The sequence below is a fragment of the Homo sapiens genome, chromosome 10, assembly GCF_000001405.40.
Source record: "Homo sapiens chromosome 10, GRCh38.p14 Primary Assembly".
Taxonomy (NCBI): domain Eukaryota; kingdom Metazoa; phylum Chordata; class Mammalia; order Primates; family Hominidae; genus Homo; species Homo sapiens.
Genome location: NC_000010.11, coordinates 49,890,767 through 49,911,621, shown reverse-complemented (window position 1 = coordinate 49,911,621; position 20,855 = coordinate 49,890,767). Strand labels below are relative to the sequence as shown.

General features: G+C 38.1%; 1 protein-coding gene and 1 pseudogene across 15 annotated transcripts in view; one reads left to right on the top strand and one right to left on the bottom strand.

Moving 5' to 3' along the window:
- The window catches only part of PARG (poly(ADP-ribose) glycohydrolase), a 123,749-nt gene that overhangs the window by 30,406 nt on the left and 72,488 nt on the right, over positions 1-20,855 (top strand). For 3 of the 15 annotated variants that reach the window (NR_136754.3, NR_136756.3, NR_136755.3), the window contains one exon: positions 3,081-3,167. The exons of the other annotated variants lie outside the window; for them this stretch is intronic. The gene's annotated coding sequence lies outside the window, so the exon portion shown is untranslated. The remainder of the gene's footprint in view (positions 1-3,080; positions 3,168-20,855) is intronic. 15 annotated transcript variants of the gene reach the window in all.
- On the bottom strand, positions 1,633-2,072 carry RPL35AP24 (ribosomal protein L35a pseudogene 24; annotated as a pseudogene).

The window sequence follows — 20,855 nt, the reverse complement described above, 5'->3', positions numbered from 1 at the left end:
TCTGTTAATTTGTTATTTATAATTATATATTTAGGTGCTACTGAGTCGAAATGGCTGTTATTTAGTGTTTTCTGCAACTTCAGGGCTAATATTGGTCTTCCTCACTGCTAGCTGCTGGAAGTGCTACAAACACACAATCTGTGTTTTATGGCCCTCCTGTGTGGTGTTTCACAAAATTAAATTCAAACACTTCTGTAATTTATATTCTAAATGAATCAATATACTTACTCCTGGCATTTTTCACTGGAAAGTTGAACAAAATGTTCTATATGTTATAAAAGTCCTCTATCAATGCATCTTGGAGGAATTTTTAAATACTTCTCTTTTTTTTTTTTTTTTGAGACACAGTCTTTCTCTGTCACTCAGGCTGGAGTGGAGTGGCACGATCTTGGCCCACTGCAACCTCTGCCTCCCAGGTTCAAGTGATTCTCCCGCCTCAGCCTCCTGAGTAGCTGGAATTACAGGCACCCACCACCACGCCAGGCTAATTTTTGTATTTTTAGTAGAGACAGGGTTTCACCATCTTGGTCAGGCTGGTCTCGAACTCCTGACCTCAGGTGATCCACCCACCTTGGCCTCCCAAAGTGCTGGGATTACAGGTATGAGCCACTGTGCCCAGCCAAATACTCCTCTTTTACAACACCTGTGGCACTGTTTCATTTCACTTATAGTGTGTTAACTTGTGAAATTTACATTAAAGCTGTAGTAACTGAAGGGCATGGGGGACGTATTTTTAAGGGGGTTTCTTCTGTTTCTGCAATGTTGGCTTCTATTTCTGGACTTGGATATTTGTTTTATATTTATTCATTAGACTATACATATATATTTTTATGTACTTTTTGAATATTCACAATAAGTATAAAATGTTATTATAAAGAGCTTTAAATCTGCAATTGATTTATATAGCAAACTTCTTAAGAAAATGGATTAATTGTTGAAAGGAAGCCTAAGGATTTTAGTGACTATTTCATCTTCCTTTCCATGTTGAGTTTTATGTCTGGAATTGAAAAGATAGAAATGTATAAGCCTTTCGTTTCATCCTTCCATTGGTTTTTCCATGAAGGCTGTCATAAATAACAAAATGAAGTGGTTTTGGTTTTGCTTTTGTTTTTTGCATCTGTGGCTGGTAAAGGTAGAGAGTGAGAGATAGGAGTACAGGAAGGAGAGGACATTTAAAAGTAAAAAATGAAAAACCTAGACTTTAGAATGATTTTGTTGCTGTGATGAGGCTAGTAATATGTTTCTCTTTGTAAACCACAATTTAAATATAGATATATAGCATAAAGTCTTTACTTCAAATCATACATACAAAATAGATTATTGCAACTTAGAAATTGTGCATCTTTTGTCTTCGCTGTAGTTATTAAAATATCGACTACGCATTCTCCTATCATCTCTTGTCCTATGACTTGTCAGAGAAAGACTGTTTAAAGCCTCTATCACTGTAAATAAGAGTGTGTAATTCTATTAGTATTGAACTTGCATTTTTATTTATGTGCTACTTAATTTAAAAGGTAAATGGGACATCATATTGAGTTTTGAATGATGCAAATTAAGTTGATCATGTTATTATATCTGTCTTTTTCTTCAGAACTGTTTCTGTCATTTAAATTTTTTTTTACTTTTTTTTTTTCCAAGAGCACAAATCCACTTTTATTTATTTACTTTTCATTAATTTAAATGCTTGAGGGGTACAGCGTCACACAGATTCTGTGTCCAGTGGCCTTAGCAGGAAGATTGCTTCAGAATTTGGCATGAACCATGCCACTATTTCCCTGGGACCAAGTTACCTTTCCCTAGATTACTCTGGTTTTGTTTGGTTTGCCACCAGGAGTCACTTTGTTGTTCTTTGTTTTGTATATATAAGTACATCTTATGCCCGAACAGAATTCTGTTTCATTTTGAGCATAAGCACCTTCTATTTTAAAAAGAGCTGTGTGCTGTCTTTGGTTCTGGAGACCCCACTTATGCTCAGCAAAAATGGCCTTGGACCACAGCCTTCCAGACATACTTCCTTTTAGTATTCCTGTTCCCAGCAGGCCTCCACAGGCTCCAAGTTGGCAGAAAGAGAAAGGCCATTTAAAATTTTAAAAACAGGTACAACATAATTCATTGTCTCCAAAATTGAGGCATGTATTATTATACCTGTGTTTAGCTAAAATAACAGTTTTTGAACTTGTGATTATGGAAAACTTTAAAAATGATAATGTATTGACAGAGCATCAGTAGAAACTCAGAAAAAAGAACATAAACTTGTATTAAAATAGATTACAAAAAGTTATTTCACATACACAAAGTAATGGCTGGAAGAAATTAAGTTTTGATTTATGCCTTTATTATATAATAAAAAGTTAAAATATATGTTGAAATTATTAGGCAAAAATCACAGCACAAATCAGCTATGATTCAATAACGTAAAACACAATAGTTGTATGTTTATGCATCACTTGAGCATCAATGCATTCATGCATATGTGGTATACTGTGGACATCCTGGCTTTCTGAGGTGTGGCATGCTATTATGAGTAGCTTATCTCATGGTAATTTTAACTGTATCAAATATACTCAGTATTTTTGTGTATTAAAAATTTTAGAACAAAAATATTGTTAGAGGATTTTTCTTCTCTCTTCATTCCTCCTATCCCCACCCCTTTATCCTATAAACTGTCTATAAACATTTCATGGAGGGTTAGTGCTTTTTAGAATAGTTTGGGAAAAGCTGACCTAAGGCGGTAAATTGTTATAACTGCTGTTTTAAATCACAACAGATTTCGTTATTCAGTAACTGAAGGAATGTGGCCTCCTTCCATGATAGCCTTTTGGTGGTCATTTTTTGTTTTGTTTTGGTTTGGTTTTTTGATAACACTGAAGTAAGTTTCTGAATGTATATAAACACATTATTACTTAGCTTGATTTAACATTCTTCGTAGATAATCTGTTTTCTGGGATTTTCTTCAAAGCTTAAAAAATATCAAGTATCTTTGTTATATTTGTCACAAAGAGCCTGTACCAAACTCCTAATCAAATGAAAGCAGCCTTAAATGTTTCATAAGACTACAGCTAATGTCTTTATCTCTCTAGCTTTCGAACCTCTGATTTGGAGTTCAGTGGAAATTTAACCTTTTTGGACCTCTTCCCTTGGTGACTCACAGTCTCTGGAATCATAAGGTCTGCATTACTTTACAGCTCAATTTAATTCATGAGAACTATAGGAGCCAAAAGGGAACTAATCAGAATCACTAAAATATTGAAACAGATCAATTGTGACTTTTATATTTGTATGGAATATGTGGAATTTCTCTCCCTGGTTTGGTTAATGAGTGCTTTTGAATTGGGACATATGTTGATGGTCTCATATTTATGATTTATGATTTCTAAATAGTGCATATCCCAAAGGACAGATTACTCCAATTGGAACTAGGCACTTTGCTTTTATAAACTTGATGAGTTACCATGGAATATCAGTCTTAGTTGAGCCCTCTATGCACTAGATCACTGATGAAGTTAGAGTTGTTATTTTGTGTTTGCAAAACACTATCTGGATTGTATTTATTTATGTGGTGGACAAAGAGGTTAGAAGTTATAGATACTGAAAAGTGAAAATTCATTCAGTAGACTTTCTCTTATATTCTAATAATGAAATTAAGCTAGTACTTAGTTTGTCCTATAACTCTAACCCTTCATTTGGGTCAAATAGCAGTAGAAGTTATTCCTTTTAAATGTTGCTGTGGTGTTGATTTCATTATCCAAAAATCTACTGTTAGAGGAGTGAAGATAATTCTGTGTTTTAATCTTGCCCATGATTTATATCTCTATCAGCTAGCTCTGAAGTGTTTTGGGTTTTGTTTTGTTTTGTTTGTATTTTATTAACACAGTTAAACATGATGCCTTGATTTATAATTTCTGTTAATTTGCATTTATTCTTCTTATGTTCCTACTCATAAAAATAAATTCTATAGTCCTTTTGAGTATGCTTTGAACACTTATCTACATGTAACATTTCATATTTAACCCTGGAAGGACTATTGTAGTATTTTTATCTGAAGGTAAAAATAATGAGTAAATAAAAACAGAACGTTAGATCTGTTTTTCAAATTTATATATTGTTTCAGTGTGTAGCCTATCTAAACAAGCGGTAAACTTGCTCATCAAAGACTAAATAGGTCCATTGGTCCTTTTATATGAGGGGGTGCTGTTAGTGCTGTGGTTTACCAAAGACTAAGCCAATGGTCTTTCTCCTTATTTTACTATTAGTACTAGTAGAGAAAAATACTCATCCTCGATTTATTGTGATGATAATGACAGGTAATGATTTACTACAAGAGTCTGTCAGATTCTAAGCTGGCTAAATAATTTTTCTTTATAGTGTGTTAATGAAGTTTTTAGTAAGCTGAGTGACATAGTGCCTTGTCACCACAAATGCTCTTTGATTACATGAAAAGTGTTACAAAAAGACATTTTCTGCCACAAGGGCCATTTCCAGCATAATGAAATATGGAATATTTTCAAATGAACTCCAAAGTGATATGTATTGAAGTCTTGCTCTTGGTCTAATCTGCCTCAGTCCTGAGAAGCCTAGCTCTAAGATAAACAAAGGGCATCTTCCACTGGGAGTGCAATGTTGGAACTGCTCACTGCCTTAAGTAACCATATGCATAGCCTCTTTCCTGATAGTTGGCTCCTGTCTCCCTTTGTAATCCTTTCCTTCTTCCATGCCTGCTGCTTAAGTTGCAGACTATTCCAGCCTCACTTCTCTTGGACACTTCTATCTGTTGCAGGCATAGGCCTGTCTCATCCCAGACTCACCTCTTCTACAAGATCCTCCCTGTAAATATCTCCTTTGTGTTTGCTGGATCATCTTATTTGGTTATCTTTGGCGATGGAGGTGGTAGTGCTTATTACTGAGAGTTTTCTATGTACCAACTATAGTGTCAGCAGTATGCTTTATCTGATTTAATTCTAACAACCACCTCATGAGTTAGATGCTATTAATATTTCTGTTTTACAAATGAAGAATGGAAAACCAAGGTTTAGGGAGTTTAAGTAACTAAGTGACATCTCATTTTTATCTATGGACTGTGGCACATGCTGTCAGAGTCGGTCTTTGACATAGCACCTAGGAAAGAAGCTGAATCAGATTAAACATACTACCCAAACATTAGGTCAATTGAAAATGGCTAGGGAAAGGGGAAGATTCATCGTAAAAACTAATTGAGTAAAGCTAGGGAGGCCCAATAAGTTCAAAGATTTGAATTCAAGGTAGAAAGAAGAAGAAAACCCTCTAGCAGAAGGCGGCCTTAATGGCCCATAGCCTTAGATCTGGCATCATTTAGAACCACATGGCTGGACATGTGGCTCAAGCCTGTAATCCCAATACTTTGGGAGGCTGAGGTGGACAGATCACTTGAGGTCAGGAGTTTGAGACCAGCCTGACCAACATGGTGAAACCCTGTTTCTACTGGGAAAAAAAAAAAAAAAGCGGCAGCATCACAGCCTCAGGGAAAGCACCTACCAGCTTCCAACAGTCTTCGTTCCTTTGAATCCTTTGCCATCTGGTTATATTCCCTCTTCCCATTCTTGTTATCTGCCCATCTCTGACACCTCTTTTCCTCTCTCCTGTTACTTGGCATCGCCTTGGGCAACTTCGGTTCAGTTGATATTCATGTTGATGAACCATTTACTAGTCAAACCCAGTCTGTGTGTGAGACCTTCTACTTTATTAACCCATGTGACCACAAATGACCAGAGCTTGGACCTGATTATCCCCTGGGCCAGCTCCTTCTCTAAAGCCATGAGCTCAGAATTCTTCTCCCACCACAGCCTCCTAGTTTTCTACTCCCTTATTCCTACTGTGCTTTCTGTTTTTTGAGTCTCCACTGCGTTCATCCCTTTTCTTCTGGTCCACTGTGTCCCAGGTTGTATTACGCAAATATTAACACTTCGTAAGTAAAGGGTTAATAGTTAAGGTGGGGGAATGTACTGCGTATTATATCCTCCTTCTGGGAATAGCTCTGAGGAGTCTTACAGTAAAGAAACATGCTTAGCTTTATTTAATTAAACCTCTTTTTTTCAAACTTATTTATAAACAGCTTCCATGTAACAGCTTTTGACTTCCTTTGTAGCAAGTATTCCATGGAGCACACTTTGCAGAGCACAGTTGTAATGGGGAAGGAAGGGAAGGAGGAAGAAATAAAGGGCGAGAGGAGAGAGGGAAGGAGGGAGAGAGGGAATAACAAATCTTACTGATAGGCCTTGCTAAGAGTTCATGTTATTCAATCTTAACTAGGCCTTTGTTTCCTGTTGCCATCTTTTATATATTTCCTTATTACTCTAGGATTCCAAACCTTTTCATTGTTTTGTAACATTTACTGACATTCCACTATCAGTCTGCTCCTACTTAATACCTCTCGGAGAGATTTGAGGACATCTAAAAGGTAAATTCTTTAAGTTTCTTTATTTTAAGGGTTTCAACATACCTCATGCTTCTCTTTCTTGTTATCTCAAAGGAAAAGCTCGTCTTATTCCATTCCTCAAGGGCAGCATGTCCAAAACAATTATACTTTAGGATACATATGTCACTGTTTCTTTTCTGGCCTTGTCCCTCTTTCCCTGCTGCCTGGTTAGTGCTTGCTTGACTTTTAGTGTTCAGCATGACTATCACTTCTGCAATTGACTTTATTTATTTATTTATTTATTTATTTATTTTTGAGATGTTCTCTTGGTCTGTTGCGCAGGTTGGAGTACAGTGGCATGATCTTGGCTCACTGCAACCTCCGCCTCCTGGGTTCAAGCGATTCTCCTGCCTCAGCCTCCTGAGTAGCTGGGATTACAGGCACGCACCACCTTGCCTGGCTAATTTTTATATTTTTAGTAGAGATGGGGTTTCACCATGTTGGCCAGGCTGGTCTCAAATCCCTGACCTCAGGTGATCCGCCCACGTTGGGCCTCCCAAAGTGCTGGGATTACAGGCATGAGCTATCGTGCCTGACCTAGACTTTCTTTTTTTAGAGCAGTTTTAGATTCATAGCAAAATACACTGATTTCTCATATATCCCCCACTCCCAGGCATGCACACCCTCCCCCATTATCAACATCCCCCACCAGAGTGGTTCATTTGCTACAATTGATGAACCTACCTTGACACATCATTACCACTCAAAGTTCTGTAATTGATGTTTTACAGTCATCTTCTATAAGCTTCCTTGTATGAGGCTGTGATTTGTTCTTTGTTATGTTCCTAGCACTTAACATAGTGAGAACTTTCAATACCACTTAATGCAGGTTATATGCAAATCTTTTTTCTTTTGCTCTTTCTCTCTGCCATCTTCTAATTGACTATTGGATTTATTCACCTGGATATTCCACAAGTACCTAAAACTAGCCTTGTCACCACTCTTCCACATTCTGTCATTGAATGATTCCACCATTTATCTATTCATTCACTCAAGCCAGAACTTGTTAATCATCTTAGCTGCCCTATTCTGCCTCAGCCACCTTTTTCTGCTCATCTACCATTTCCTCATCTTACAGTATGATGTCATAATTTTACTTCCTAAATACTTCTTGAGTTTCGGCTCTATTTCTGTTACACTTGTCTCCTCCATACCATCGTCATGACTCAGCTAGTATATTGTAAGAGTCACCTAGTCGACCCCTGTGTGCAGTTGATCCCTTCAAATCCATCCTTCATGCTGCTTACACACAGTGAGCTATCTGAAGCATAGATCTTAAAACCTCCATGGCATTTCATCTCTTTTCAACTCTATTGGTGATATTTATGGCATTCCATGACCTTGCCTCTGCCCACCTCTCTGGCATCATTTCATGCCACTTTTCCTGCTTGAAACCTGATGGTCTAATGACTCTAAATTACTTGTGGTTCTCTGTCATGGTGTTTGCCTGCTTCTTAATCCAGCCTTCAAGACTCAGCTCAGTTTTTATCTCCTCTGAGTATCCTTTTTTGTCCTCTCAGCCGCTACTAAAAACTCCTCTGTGTGCTCACAGTAGTACCTGTGCACAACTCCATGTACTTGTTACATTAGGCATCATATAGCCACGAAATGTCTGAATATTCATGAGGCCCAATTTTTCCAGGGCATCTTACTATTTTCTAGCCCATGGCTAATGCACAGTTAATGTTTCTTGAACTGAGTTCAGGATATTCAGGGAGAGTAGTCCAGCACACAAAAATGTGGGCCTTGAACCACAATCACTTACCGAGAGATTTAGGAATTATTTTGTGTAAGGTGATAGTTGATCATTTGCAACTGGTGATTGGTAGAGAGAAAAGGTAAGGCCAGTATGCATAACCTTTACTATAGTCTTTTTTGTTTATTTTTTTTCCAGAGACAGGGCTTTGCTCTGTCCTCCAGGCTGGAGTGCAGTGCATCGCAACCTCAAATTCCTAGGCTTAAGCAAGATCCTCCTACCTCAGCTTCCAGAGTAGCTGGGACTGTAGGTCCATACCACCACAGCTACCTAAGTAAAATTTTTTTTGGCCGGGCATGGTGGCTCTCATGCCTGTAATCCCAGCACTTCGGGAGGCTGAGGCAAGCAGATCACGAGGTCAAGAGATCGAGACCATCCTGACGAACATGGTGAAACCCTGTCTCTACTAAAAATAAAAAATTAGCTGGGTGTGGTGGCGTGTAAGTTGCAGCTTCTCTGGAGGCTGAGGCAGGAGAATCACTTGAACCCGGGAGGCAGAGGTTGCAGTGAGCCGAGATCGCGCCATTGCACTCCAGTCTGGTGACAGAGTGAGACTCCGTCTCAAAAAAAAAAAAAAAATTTTTTTTGTAGAGACCGAGTCTCATTATGTTGCCCAAGCTGGTCTTAAACACTTGCCCTTAAGCGATCCTCCCGCTTTGGCCTCCCAGAGTGCTGAGATTACAGGCATGAACCACTGTGCCCAGGCTTTATAGTTGTTGTGTAGCATTTTTACCCTAAAAAGTAGTAAGTTTCTAGAGGACAGACACCTTGTATTGTTTGTCTTGGTGTTTATTTTTCACAGTGCTCAATCTAATGTCCTGGACAAAGTGGGTGTTCAATATGTGTTTGGACTAAGTAGCAATAAATGACTAGAATTCAGTAGAAGGGAGAGGCTGTTCTCTTTCTTGGATTTCTGAGCTCTGTAAGTTCACGCTTCAGGGGCCCATTTACCTCTTTAATTCCCTGCATGCAAAAGGGGGATGAATGCCCTAGATGATAGATTGAACCTGACTTCTTAATGTTTTATGTGATATAGCTACGTACCACATCGGTCCTCATATGCCTTCATTTTTATATGGGCTATAAAACCAAAATTACTTCAAGAGGAATATTTGACCATTTTCATCCTTCTTTTAAAATGAATTGGAGTTACCAAAAGTAGCCTGATGCAGTTGAATAAAATTAGGTGTATTTTAGAACCTCTAAACAAAAAGCTACAGATTTAATCATCTGTAGTTGTATCTACATATGTCTGAAAACCCCTGAATCTTCTTTCAGTTGCCCTGGTGACTGTTTCATTAGAGTAGGGTATCAAGAAAGACTACATCTGTGGAGTCCAAACACTGGCTACTATCCACGTAGGCTATTTAAATAGAAATTAATTACAATGAAATAAAATTTAAAATTCAGTTCTTCAGTCACAGTAGCCACATTTCAAATGCCACATGTGGCTGCCGGCTGCCATCCTGGACAGCACAGATATAGAACATTTTCATCACTGCAGAAAGTTAGACTGAATAGAAATGTACTAGGTCATCCCTAAGGATCCTTCTGCATCTGACATCCTTCTACTGGGAAACCTGCTCACAGGGACTTCTGAGATTTCTCAACATTGTTTGACTGCATTTTGAATTTTTTTAGATTGGATATTACTTCAAATAATTGAGTTGTTGAGTAGAACTTGTCCATTTTTAATAAAGATCTTTTCATTGTAATAGCATTTGTTTTAACTACAAATGTATTTGCATTTTTATTCTTTCTCCAAAGAGTGCGCTTCCAGAGAGTGTCCTCAAGCCTTTTAGGAAAATTAGTTTTGTTTCATCCTTAATAAGAGTGAAGTTCAAACTATAATATTGTTATTTCATACTGGATAATTTAATTAAATTAAGAATTAAGCACTATAATATGTATGTATGCACGTTACTTGATTTGCATGGCACATTTTATAATAGCGCTGTGAGTGTGCTAAGCTGTCCTTGAACTACCATAAAAATTACTTAAGTCTGGGTGTGGTGGTTCGTGCTTGTAATTCTAGCACTTTGGGAGGCTGAGGTGGGATGATTGCTTGAGCCCAGGAGTTCAAGACCAGCCCGGGCAAGATGGTGAGACCCCATTGCTACAAAAATTTTTTTAAAAATTAGCTGGGTGTGGTAGCATGCATCTGTAGTCCCAGCTACTTGGGAGGCCGAGGCAGGAGGATCCCTTGAGCCCAAGAGTTCGAGGTGGCAGTGAGCTATGATCACACCAGTGCACTCCAGCCTGGGTGACAAAGTGAGACCCCCATCTCTTAAAAATATATATTACTGAGAAATAAGTATTTTTCAGGGTACTTCTTAGAGTTGAAAAAACCTGCTAATTATTTAAAAGTATAAACTATAATAAAAGATTGAAGTTATTGCTCACCTGTATTTCTTGGACAAATTACATCCATTTTACTTCTAGGGCTGGAAAACTTACATCACCATTAGCTGTTTCTCTGAAATTTTGTCATGTTGAGTTTTACTGCCTGTCTATAAAGATGGATAATAATGTGACTATGTGGTATTGAAAGTATCCATTGGCTTGGACATAATAGCAATGTGGTTTGGTGGTGTTTACAAAAGTGATTGATGGATATGGCCATGTAGTCGTACAGTAATAGAAGTGAGAAATAGGAAAGACATGTCAGAGCGTCTTGTGCCAGTGTGGGTTTATTTCCTAAGGAATAATCATTTACCATAATAGTACTGAGAAGTAAATTCTTTGGAGGCATAGGATAATGAGGGTGTATTATTACGTTTTGTCTTTTCTAAAGTAAGAATTCTGCTGTTTATTATTAGCATGAAAATAGATATGATTGTGCAATAAATATTGTTTAAAGAAGAACTTCCTTCATGTTTTATAAACCTACACAATTCTATTCTTCATGTTTAATGAAGTTTGTGTAGGAAAATAGTGTGACTGTTTTTGATTAGAGGCATATTTTGTTTCAAGAATTGGATGAAGATCTTCTTCCTAAACTGATTGTGTTCCCAGACTAGTTGTTAATTATTTGGAATTAGGAGTCATGATGGGGAAATTTCCACCACATCCAGAAAGTCTGTGAATTTTAAACCTCTGATGGCTTGTTTTCTGAAGTGAAAAACTAATGCAGAGTTCTGTCACTAGAAACACAGCAGTGCTTAGGAGAGATTGGAAGTAGGGTTGTGGTGAGAATTGGCAGGAGGACTCTTTCTCCCTTCATTCCTCCTCCTTCGTCCTGCACTAGCTGATAAGAGCTGGGCCATAGGAGTGGAGACTAAAAATGAAAGGAGGTTTCATTGCTTAGCACTTCTTTTCCTCTTTTCCCCCTTCTGCTGGCAATCCTTGATGGGGAGGAAACAAAGTGTCTGTATAGCAGCCCGATTATTTCATATTAAGCAACTGTCAAATTAATATAAGGACAACTGCAGGTTATTTCCAGTGTGAATTACAGAGTACTTTAAAAACTCGGTATATTTCATTTATCTATCGTTAGGGCAAATCATTTTAAATGCTTATAATGAGCTGTGATTTTTATCAGTATTTCCCAGATTTGAGTCATAAACACTTTGAAAATTCATAGGAAGACTCTTAATAGCTGTTTAAAGAGGAAAACCAAATCAAACCAAAAGAAAGTAGAGGGGCAAGGTGATCCTCAGCACAGCCATTTGTATGTGTCACCACAGCTGACCCCTGGACTCAGCCTTTCACACCACCTTGCCCTCTGCTACCACACTGATTTTGTACCTCTCCATGCACAGTCTTATTTAGGTCCATGAACTAAATAAGTTAGCTGCTAATTGGTGAAATATGCCTTCTTAAATATGACCATGTTAACCTGGCTATTTCCTGAAAACCGGTTGGAGTTTATTAAAAATGGAGACCATTTTTATTGAAGCCATAATTGTCATGGGCGATACACATGAGAGATCACCCTGTGGCTGGCCTGTCAGACTTTCATGAGCCTTCAGAAATTAAGGGGAATGAGTGAGTTTGTTTTCTTGTAAGCTGTCACATTCTGCTCTTCAAAGTGTCAGCCTGAGTTGTGCACAGATAAATGTTAGAAATTTTCACCTTCTCCAGTTGATTTTTTTACCCTTACGTAATTTAGTAGTATGATTGTTTTTCCTCTAACATTTAATGTTTTTGTACTTTTAATTTTTGAAATGTGAGCTTGTGCTTTAGACTTGGGAAAACTTAGAGGTAGTTCCAGTATGGAAAGCTTAGCCTATAGACAGTTTAATCAACTTACACAAAAGAAAACTATGATATTTTTGCTGAGTAATAGAGATTCTGAAAGGCAATGGAGAGGAGGAGGATGAGCTTTGTAAAATCAGCTAATCCAGATAGAAAGTGTCAGTTAATTTAACATATTTTTATTGACGGTTTTACATATGAACACCACTGTTGTAGGAATGGTGAATCAATCATAAATCTTGTCTTAAAGGAGCTTCTAGTAAGGGCTAGAATGCACGTTCATAAATAACAACAGAAAGCAGAAAGTCTTAAGTGTCTTGTGAAAAAAAGTTCAAATAAATTACAAGAGGGAGAATTACTTTTTAGCTGGAGAGTAAATTTGGATAGACTTGAAGCAAACTATTGTTTGAGCAAGATCAAAAGGTTGGATAAGTTTTGGAGTTAAGAAGGAAAGATATTCCAGGATCGTATCTGTAGCAGCACAAACAGATGCTATAGAAAAATGAATTTCTGAGTTTCTAGTATGTAGGCTGCACAGAAGGTAGAGTTTGTGTGTGTGTGTATGTTATATATATGTGCTGAATGAGACTAGATAAGAATCTAGGGTAAGGGAGCTTGACTGTTAGTTCAAGGGATTTGTTCTGTATTGAAAAGGCAGCAGAAAGCCATTGAAAGCTTTGAAGTGGAGCAGAAGCACATCATAGTCTACTTGGGCAGAAACTGAAGGTGGGCTATCAGCAGGGCAGCAGTTAGATTATTGTAGTAATCTTGATGAGACTGGATGAGGGCTGAGGGTAGTTTAGTAGTGATTAAGATGAGGTAATAAATATGTGAGATCCTGCTGGATCAATCAATATAGGACTTGGCAGTTAATTGATATGGGGGTGATCAAAGAAGAAGGAGGCTCCAGAAAGTTTGTGAATTACTGGCCCATTAGACATTAATACTTTTTATATGGAGCTTTAGAATTCATAAAACACTATTATATCTGAAAGCTTTCGTAACTCTGTAAGTTAAAGTTATAGTAGAATTATCCTTACTATGGATGAGGAAATAAAGAATTTAGGGATTTTTCTGTGGTTAATACAAGAGTAAATGCACATCTAGGCCTATAACTAGTCTTCCAGTTTCTTGGCCAGTATTTCTTTTATATCCTTCCTTGTGAACCTGGGAAGAAAAGCTCTGGCATCTAGTCCCAATGTCTTTGTGTTTTTTTGTTTTTTTTGAGACAGAGTCTTGCTCTGTCACCCAGGCCGGAGGTGCAGTGGCATGATCTCAGCTCACTGCAACCTCCACCTCCCGAGCTCAAGCGATTCTCATGCCTTAGCCACCCAAATAGCTGGGACTACAGGTGTGGGCCACAATGCTCAGCTAATTTTTGTATTTTTAGTAGAGATGGCCAGGCTGGTCTTGAACTCTTGACCTCAAGTGATCCACCTGCTTTGGCCTCCCAAAATACTGGGGTTATAGGTGTGAGCCACTGCCCCCAACCACCACTAAGTTTTTGAATGTGGACAAATTGCTTATTTCTTGGAGCTTTAGTCTCTCTAGATGCCCTTATCCTTTCTATCTTGCAAGGATACTTTGAAGATAAAATGCAATGTTTTTGGTTTTATCAACTCTATTCAGCAAATAATGAGCACTAAATACTATGCTTAGTACTGGGGGGCCACAAGATGTTTAAATTTTTTTGTGTGTTTCACAGATCAGAGGACAGGAAATGCAGATAAATAATTGTAATAACCGCAGTAAGTGTTCTAATACAAGTATGTACATTTGGCTCTAGAGTCATAGAGTAAGGGGCAGTCAGGCAATCAGTGAAGGCTTCCCAGGGAGATGGGAACTGAGTCCTGAAGCATAGTTCGTGGTTTAATGGTAGTAAAATGTTAAACAAGGCAGAGGGTAAAATAATGCATCATCATCATCATAATACTAGCTGTTATTTGTTGAAAAGCTTATAATTCTGACCACATCTCTGCAAGATATTTTCATTTTATAAGTAAGAAAATAGGTTCAAAAGGTTGTGATTTGATCATAGTATTTAATGAAGTCAGTATGGTACAAATGAAGTCAGGAGGTGCAAATAGTTAAGTATCACTGGACAGTAGCAAACAAGCAACAGAAAGGATAAAGATAAAACTGAAAAAGGGGCTCAAGTATGCTATATTCTAGATATTAAAAAATAATAAAACTAGTGGTTTCATGACAGACAGGGGAGACTATTTTAACATATGTGAGACAAAGGATTAATACCTAGTAAAATATGCCTAATTAAACATTGGTTACTATGTGGACCAAGATGTTTTCACTGTCAGTTCTCCGAAACATTTAAGGAAGATATAATACTAAGTTCACAGAAACTCAAATAAGAGAGGAGGAGGGAGCACTTTCCAACTCATTTATAAAGCCATATATATATACCTCCGATACTAGTATGTGACAAAGATTTTATAAAATATTAGCAAATGAAATCTAGAAATATGTAAAAAGGATAATACATGATTACTAAGCAGAGTTCATCTCAGAAATGCAGGATTGGATTTATATTTTAAAAGCTGTATGATTATTGTGATAAATGCAGAATAAGCACCTGACAAAATTTAGTAACCATTCAGAGTGAAAAACTGTTAGCAGGCCGGGAGTGATGGCTCATGCCTGTAATCCTAACACTCTGGGAGGCCAAGGCGGGTGGATCACCTGAGGTTAGGAGTTCGAGGCCAGCCTGGCCAACATAGTAAAACTCCATCTCTACTAAAATTACAAAAATTAGCTGGGTGTGGTAGCATGCACCTGTAGTCCCAGCTACTTGGGAGGCTGAGGCAGGAGAATTGCTTGAATCCAGGAAGCAGAGGTTGCAGTGAGCCAAGATCGCACCACTGCACTCCAGCCTAGTTGACAAAGCAAGACTGTCTCCAGAAAAAAAACAAAACAAAACAACAATAACAAAACTATTAACAACTATGTCCTCAATCTGTTAAAGAGTATCTGTGAAAAACCTACTACTAAAATCATGCTTCATGGTGAAATATGAAATACTCTTCCCAAAGATTGGGGGAAAAGCAAGAACACCCATGCTCTTCATTCTTATTAACATTGTACTAGAAATCCTAGCCAATGCAGTAAGGCAAGAAAAAGAAATAAAATGTTTGAAAATCAGAAAGGAAGAAGTAAAACTGTTTCTGTTTGTAGTTGACGGTGTTTGTTTATGCAGAAAAACCCAAGAAACCTAAAAAATAACTATTAGAACTAATTTATTTAGCAAGACATAAGGTCAGTATACAAAAATCATTATATTTTTATATACTTGCCATAAATGAAATTTTAAAAATTTCATTAAAAATAGCTTTAAAAAACCATAAAATACTTAGAAATAAATTTAACAAAAAATGTGTAAGACCAGTATCTTGAAGACCGTAAAACATTGCTGAGAGAAATTGAAGAAAACCTGAATAAAAGAATATCTACCATGCTCATGGACCGGATGACTCAGTGTGGTTAAGATATCAGTTCTCGGCCGGGCGCGGTGGCTCACACTTGTAATCCCAGCACTTTGGGAGGCTGAGGTGGGTGGATCACTTGAGGACAGGAGTTCAAGACCAGCCTGGCTAACATGGTGAAACCCCATCTCTACTAAAAGTACAAAAAAATTAGCCAGGCGTGGTGGCGGGCACATATACTCCCAGCTAGTCAGGAGGCTGAGGCAGGAGAATTGCTTGAACCCAGGAGGCGGAGGTTGCAGTGAGCCGAGATCATGCCATTGCAATCCAGCCTGGGCAACAAGAGTGAAACTCCATCTCAAAAAAAAAAAAGATATCAGTTCTCCCTGTATGCAGTTCCAATCATAATACCAAGCAGGCATTTTGTAGAAAATGCAAAGCTGATTACTAAAATTTATATGGAAACACAAAGGACCCTTATTTACAAAGAAATTGTAAATAAGAAGGGCAGAGTTTGCAGACTAACGTGAATTGCTTTGGATACTTACAATAAGACTACAGTAAACAAGACAGTATGTGTGGTGAGTTGAATAATGTCCCCCCAAATTAATGTTCACCTGGACTCTCAGGATGTGGCTTTATCTGGAAATACAGTCTTTGCAGATGTAACTAGTTAAGATGAGGCCACACTGGATTATGGTGTACCCTAAATCAATGACTGGTGTCCTTATGAGAGAAGGAAAGGACACAGAGACAAAGACACTGAGGGAAAACGCTTATATGATGATGGAGTTAGAGATTGGACTGATGTATCTGCATGCCAAGGAACCCCAAGGATTGCTAGAAGCCACCAGAAGCTAGGAAGAGACCAGGAAGAGCCTTAGAGCCTTCATAGGGAGCGTGATACTACCAACAACTGGTTTCAGATTTCTAGACTCCAGAACTGTGAGATAATACATTTTTGTTGTTTTAAGCTGCCTGGTTTGTGGTTCTTTGTCACAGCAGCTCAAGGAAATGAATACAATATGATACTGACATAACAATCAAATTGATCAGTGGAACGAAGTAGTAAACCCAGAAACAGACCCATGTTTATACAGTCATTTGGTTTTCAACAAAAGTGCCAAAGCAATACAACAAGGGAAAAGAAGTGTCTTTTCAACAAATGGTGTTGGCGAAACTGGATTTCCATGTGGGCTTAAAAAAAAAATTGCCCCTTCCCACATACTATACATAGAAAATAATTCTAAATTCTAACTGAAAAAGCAAAAACTATAAAGCTTCTAGAGGAAAACATCTTTGTAGCTTGGGAGTCGACAAAGATTTCCTAGGACCTACAGCTTTTATAGCTAATGGGAAACCTTAGCTATAAAAGAAAAAAACTTATAAATACTTGTGACGAAAAGACATTAGGAAAATAGGCAAGCTAAAGACAGGGATGCCAGGCGCATTGGCTCATGCCTGTTATCCCAGCACTTTGCGAGGCCAAGGCAGAGGGATCGCTGGAGTACAAGAGTTCAAGGCCAACCTGGGCAACATAGGGAGACCTTGTCTCTACAAAAAAAAAAAAAAAAAATTAATTAGCTGGGCATGGTGGCACATGCCTGTGGTCCCAGCTCCTTGGGAGGCTGAGGTGGAAGGATCTCTTGGAGGCCAGGTGTGGTGGCTCACACCTGTAATCTCAGCAGCTTGGGAGGCTGAGGTAGATGCATTGCTTGAGCCCAGGAGTTCAATACCAGTCTGGACAACATGGCAATGGTCTCTATTAAAAATCCAAAAATTAGGCCGGGCATGGTGGCTCACACTTGTAATCCCAGCACTTTGGGAGGCCAAGGTGGGTGGATCACGAGGTCAGGAGATCAAGACCATCCTGGCTAACACTGTGAAACCCCGTCTTTACTAAAAATACAAAAAAAAACATTAGCTGGGCGTGGTGGCGGGTGCCTGTAGTCACAGCTGCTCGGGAGCCTGAGGCAGGAGAATGGCGTGAACTTGGGAGGCGGAGCTTGCAGTGAGCCAAGATCGCGCCACTGCACCCCAGCCTGGGCAACACAGGGAGACTCCATCTCAAAAAAAAGGAAAAAAAAAAAAGTCAAAAATTAGCCAGGCATGTTGGCACACACCTATAGTCCCAGCTACTTGGGAGGCTGAGGGTGACAGGGTTGATGCCTGGGAGGTCAAGACTGCAGTGAGATGTGATTGCATCACGACACTCCAGCTTTGGCGACACAGTGAGACCCTGTCTCACATAAATAAATAGAAATAAATAAATTTTAAAAGACGGCGAAATATTTGCAAAATGTTTATCTGACAAGGGACATGTATCCAGAATATATAAAGAACTACAATTGAAAAATAAAAAGACAGCCAACCTCGCTAGAAAATGAGCAAGAGTTTGAAAGGATTTCACAAAGGAAGGTATACAAATTGCCAATAAGCACATTAAAAAATGCTTGATATTATTTGTCACTGGAGAAATGCCAGTTATAACTAGAATAAGATATTAGCCTGCAGGCACTAGAAAGACTAAAAGATCAAATGTAGGTAGCGATATGGAGCAGTTGCAACTCTCATACTTTGTTGTTGGGAGTTTAAAATGTACTACAATGTTGGAAAAGGGTCTGGCTGTTTTTTAGAAAAACTGAACATATACTTACCCTATTACCCATTAATTTCATTTCTTTCTCTACCTACCTATGAGATATGAAAATATATGCACACAAAAAGATTTGTAGAAGAATGTTTATAGCAGTTTTACTTATAATAGCCAAAACCTGGGGACAGCCCAGGTATCTATCAACAAGAGAATGAATAAACAAATTGTGGATGTATTCATACCATAAAATAATTTTTGTATTTTTAGTAGAGATAGGGTTTCACCATCTTGCCCAGGCTGGTCTTGAACTCCTGACCTCAAGTGATCCACTTGGCTTGGCCTCCTAAAGTGCTGGGATCACAGGGGTGAGCCACCGTGCCTGGCGTGAACTCTAGTTGCTGATCTGCAAACTGAAGTGATGGGGTGGAATGCTTGCAACTTACCTCAAAACGCATTAAAAAATGCATTGATATGTGGTCAGAAGAATGGACTGATGACAACATGACAAAAGCCAATATAAAATGTTAATCATAGAAACCAAATAGTATTTGGGTATTCAGTGTACAGTTATTTTAACTTCACCATATTTTTGAAATTTTTAAAAATGTTGGGAAAAATGGTTCTCAAAGGGGAATGATTACAAAAATTATTGTACTTCTCTACTTTGGAATACTGTGTAGCATTTGTCATTGTATAATACAGAAAGACTTTTTAGGCTTTCTCTTAAGGCAAAAACAAGTTGTAGAAAAATATAATATTTTAAAAATTAAGGTAACACAAAACTGTGTGTTTATATGCACACACACCTAAGTTCTCAGAAGAAGTTTGGGGAGGAAATATGCATCTGTTTATATCTGAGAAGAGGATATCTTGGCAGTGGGCTTGTGGGTAATATTTCTTTTCTTTTTGTTTACATTAATTTTCTTCAGTGAAAATACATGACATTTTAAAAAACATTTTGCCTTTAGTGATGTAAAAAATGCCTTTTTTGTCATATTTGGTGAGAAAAAATACGAAATTGAGCAACATAATTTCAACTGATAAATGCACCTATGTATGAGGAAAAAGAAACTTAGGTATAAATATTGGTTATGTTACTATTAGGAACATAGTTGATCCACCCACCTCAGCCTCCCAAAGTGCTGGGATTGCAGGTGTGAGCCACCACGCCCGGCCAGGAAATTTTTTTTTAAAGAAGCATTTCAGACATATACAAAAATAAAATGGGGTAATGAACCTCCCTGTTTCCATCACCCATCTTCAGTATTACAGGCTCATGCCTGTCATCCCAGCACTTTGGGAGGCTGAGGTAGGTGGATCACCTGAGGTTAGGAGTTTGAGACCAGCCTGGCCAACATGGTGCAACCCCATCTCTAAAAATACAAAAATTAGCTAGGTGTGGTGGTGTGTGCCTGTAGTCTCATCTACTCAGGAGGCTGAGGCAGGAGAATCGCTTGAATCTGGGAGGTGGAGGTTGCAGTGAGCTGAGATCATGCCACTGCACTCCAGCCTGGGTGACAGAGTGAGACGCTATCTCAAAAAAAAAAAAAAAAAAAAAAAATATATATATATATATATATATATATATATATATGGACCATAGGATTATGAGGATATTTCCTCTTTGCTATTTAGGTTTTGGAGTGGTGTACTTCTTATTGAAAAATTGTCTAAAATTTCACATCCTAGACGTTTCATATAGATTTTGATTTTTTTTATTAAAGAGGATTGTTAGTAACTTTTCACAATTTTATTAGTATCTAACTAGGTTTAGACCAATAGAGAAAATGGAGCAGCTTGTGCTATTTCTTGTATTCATTGATTTGTGATTGATTTTTTTTTATTTTTTTATTTTTTATTTATTTATTTTTGAGACAAAGTCTCACTCTGTCGCCCAGGCGGAAGTGCAGTGGCACGATCTCGGCTCACTGCAACCTCTGCCTCCCGGGTTCAGGCAATTCTCCTGCTTCCGCCTCCCGAGTAACTGGGACCACAGGCATGTGCCACCACGCCTGGCTAATTTTTTGTATTTTTAGTAAAGATAGGGTTTCACCATGTTAGCCAGGATGGTCTTGATCTCCTGACCTGGTGATTTGCCTGCCTTGGCCTCCCAAAGTGCTGGGATTACAGGCATGAGCCACCACGCCCGGCCTGATTACTTTTTTAAAGCTGTTTGCCCTAAACTGTTTGAAAAAGATCTATGGAAATATTTTCTTTTATTGAAATAACACTGGTCTTCTCATGTTGCAAGCTACAGATTTCACTTATTAATTCAAAGTTCAGTAGTCAATATTTAATACTTTCCATATGTCAGGTATAGTACTTAGTCATGTATAAATATGTCTTTCATAAATATTAGAGCACATTTAACAGATGTATGTAGTTAATCAGATATTCAAAGAAAGAAGAAATAAGTAA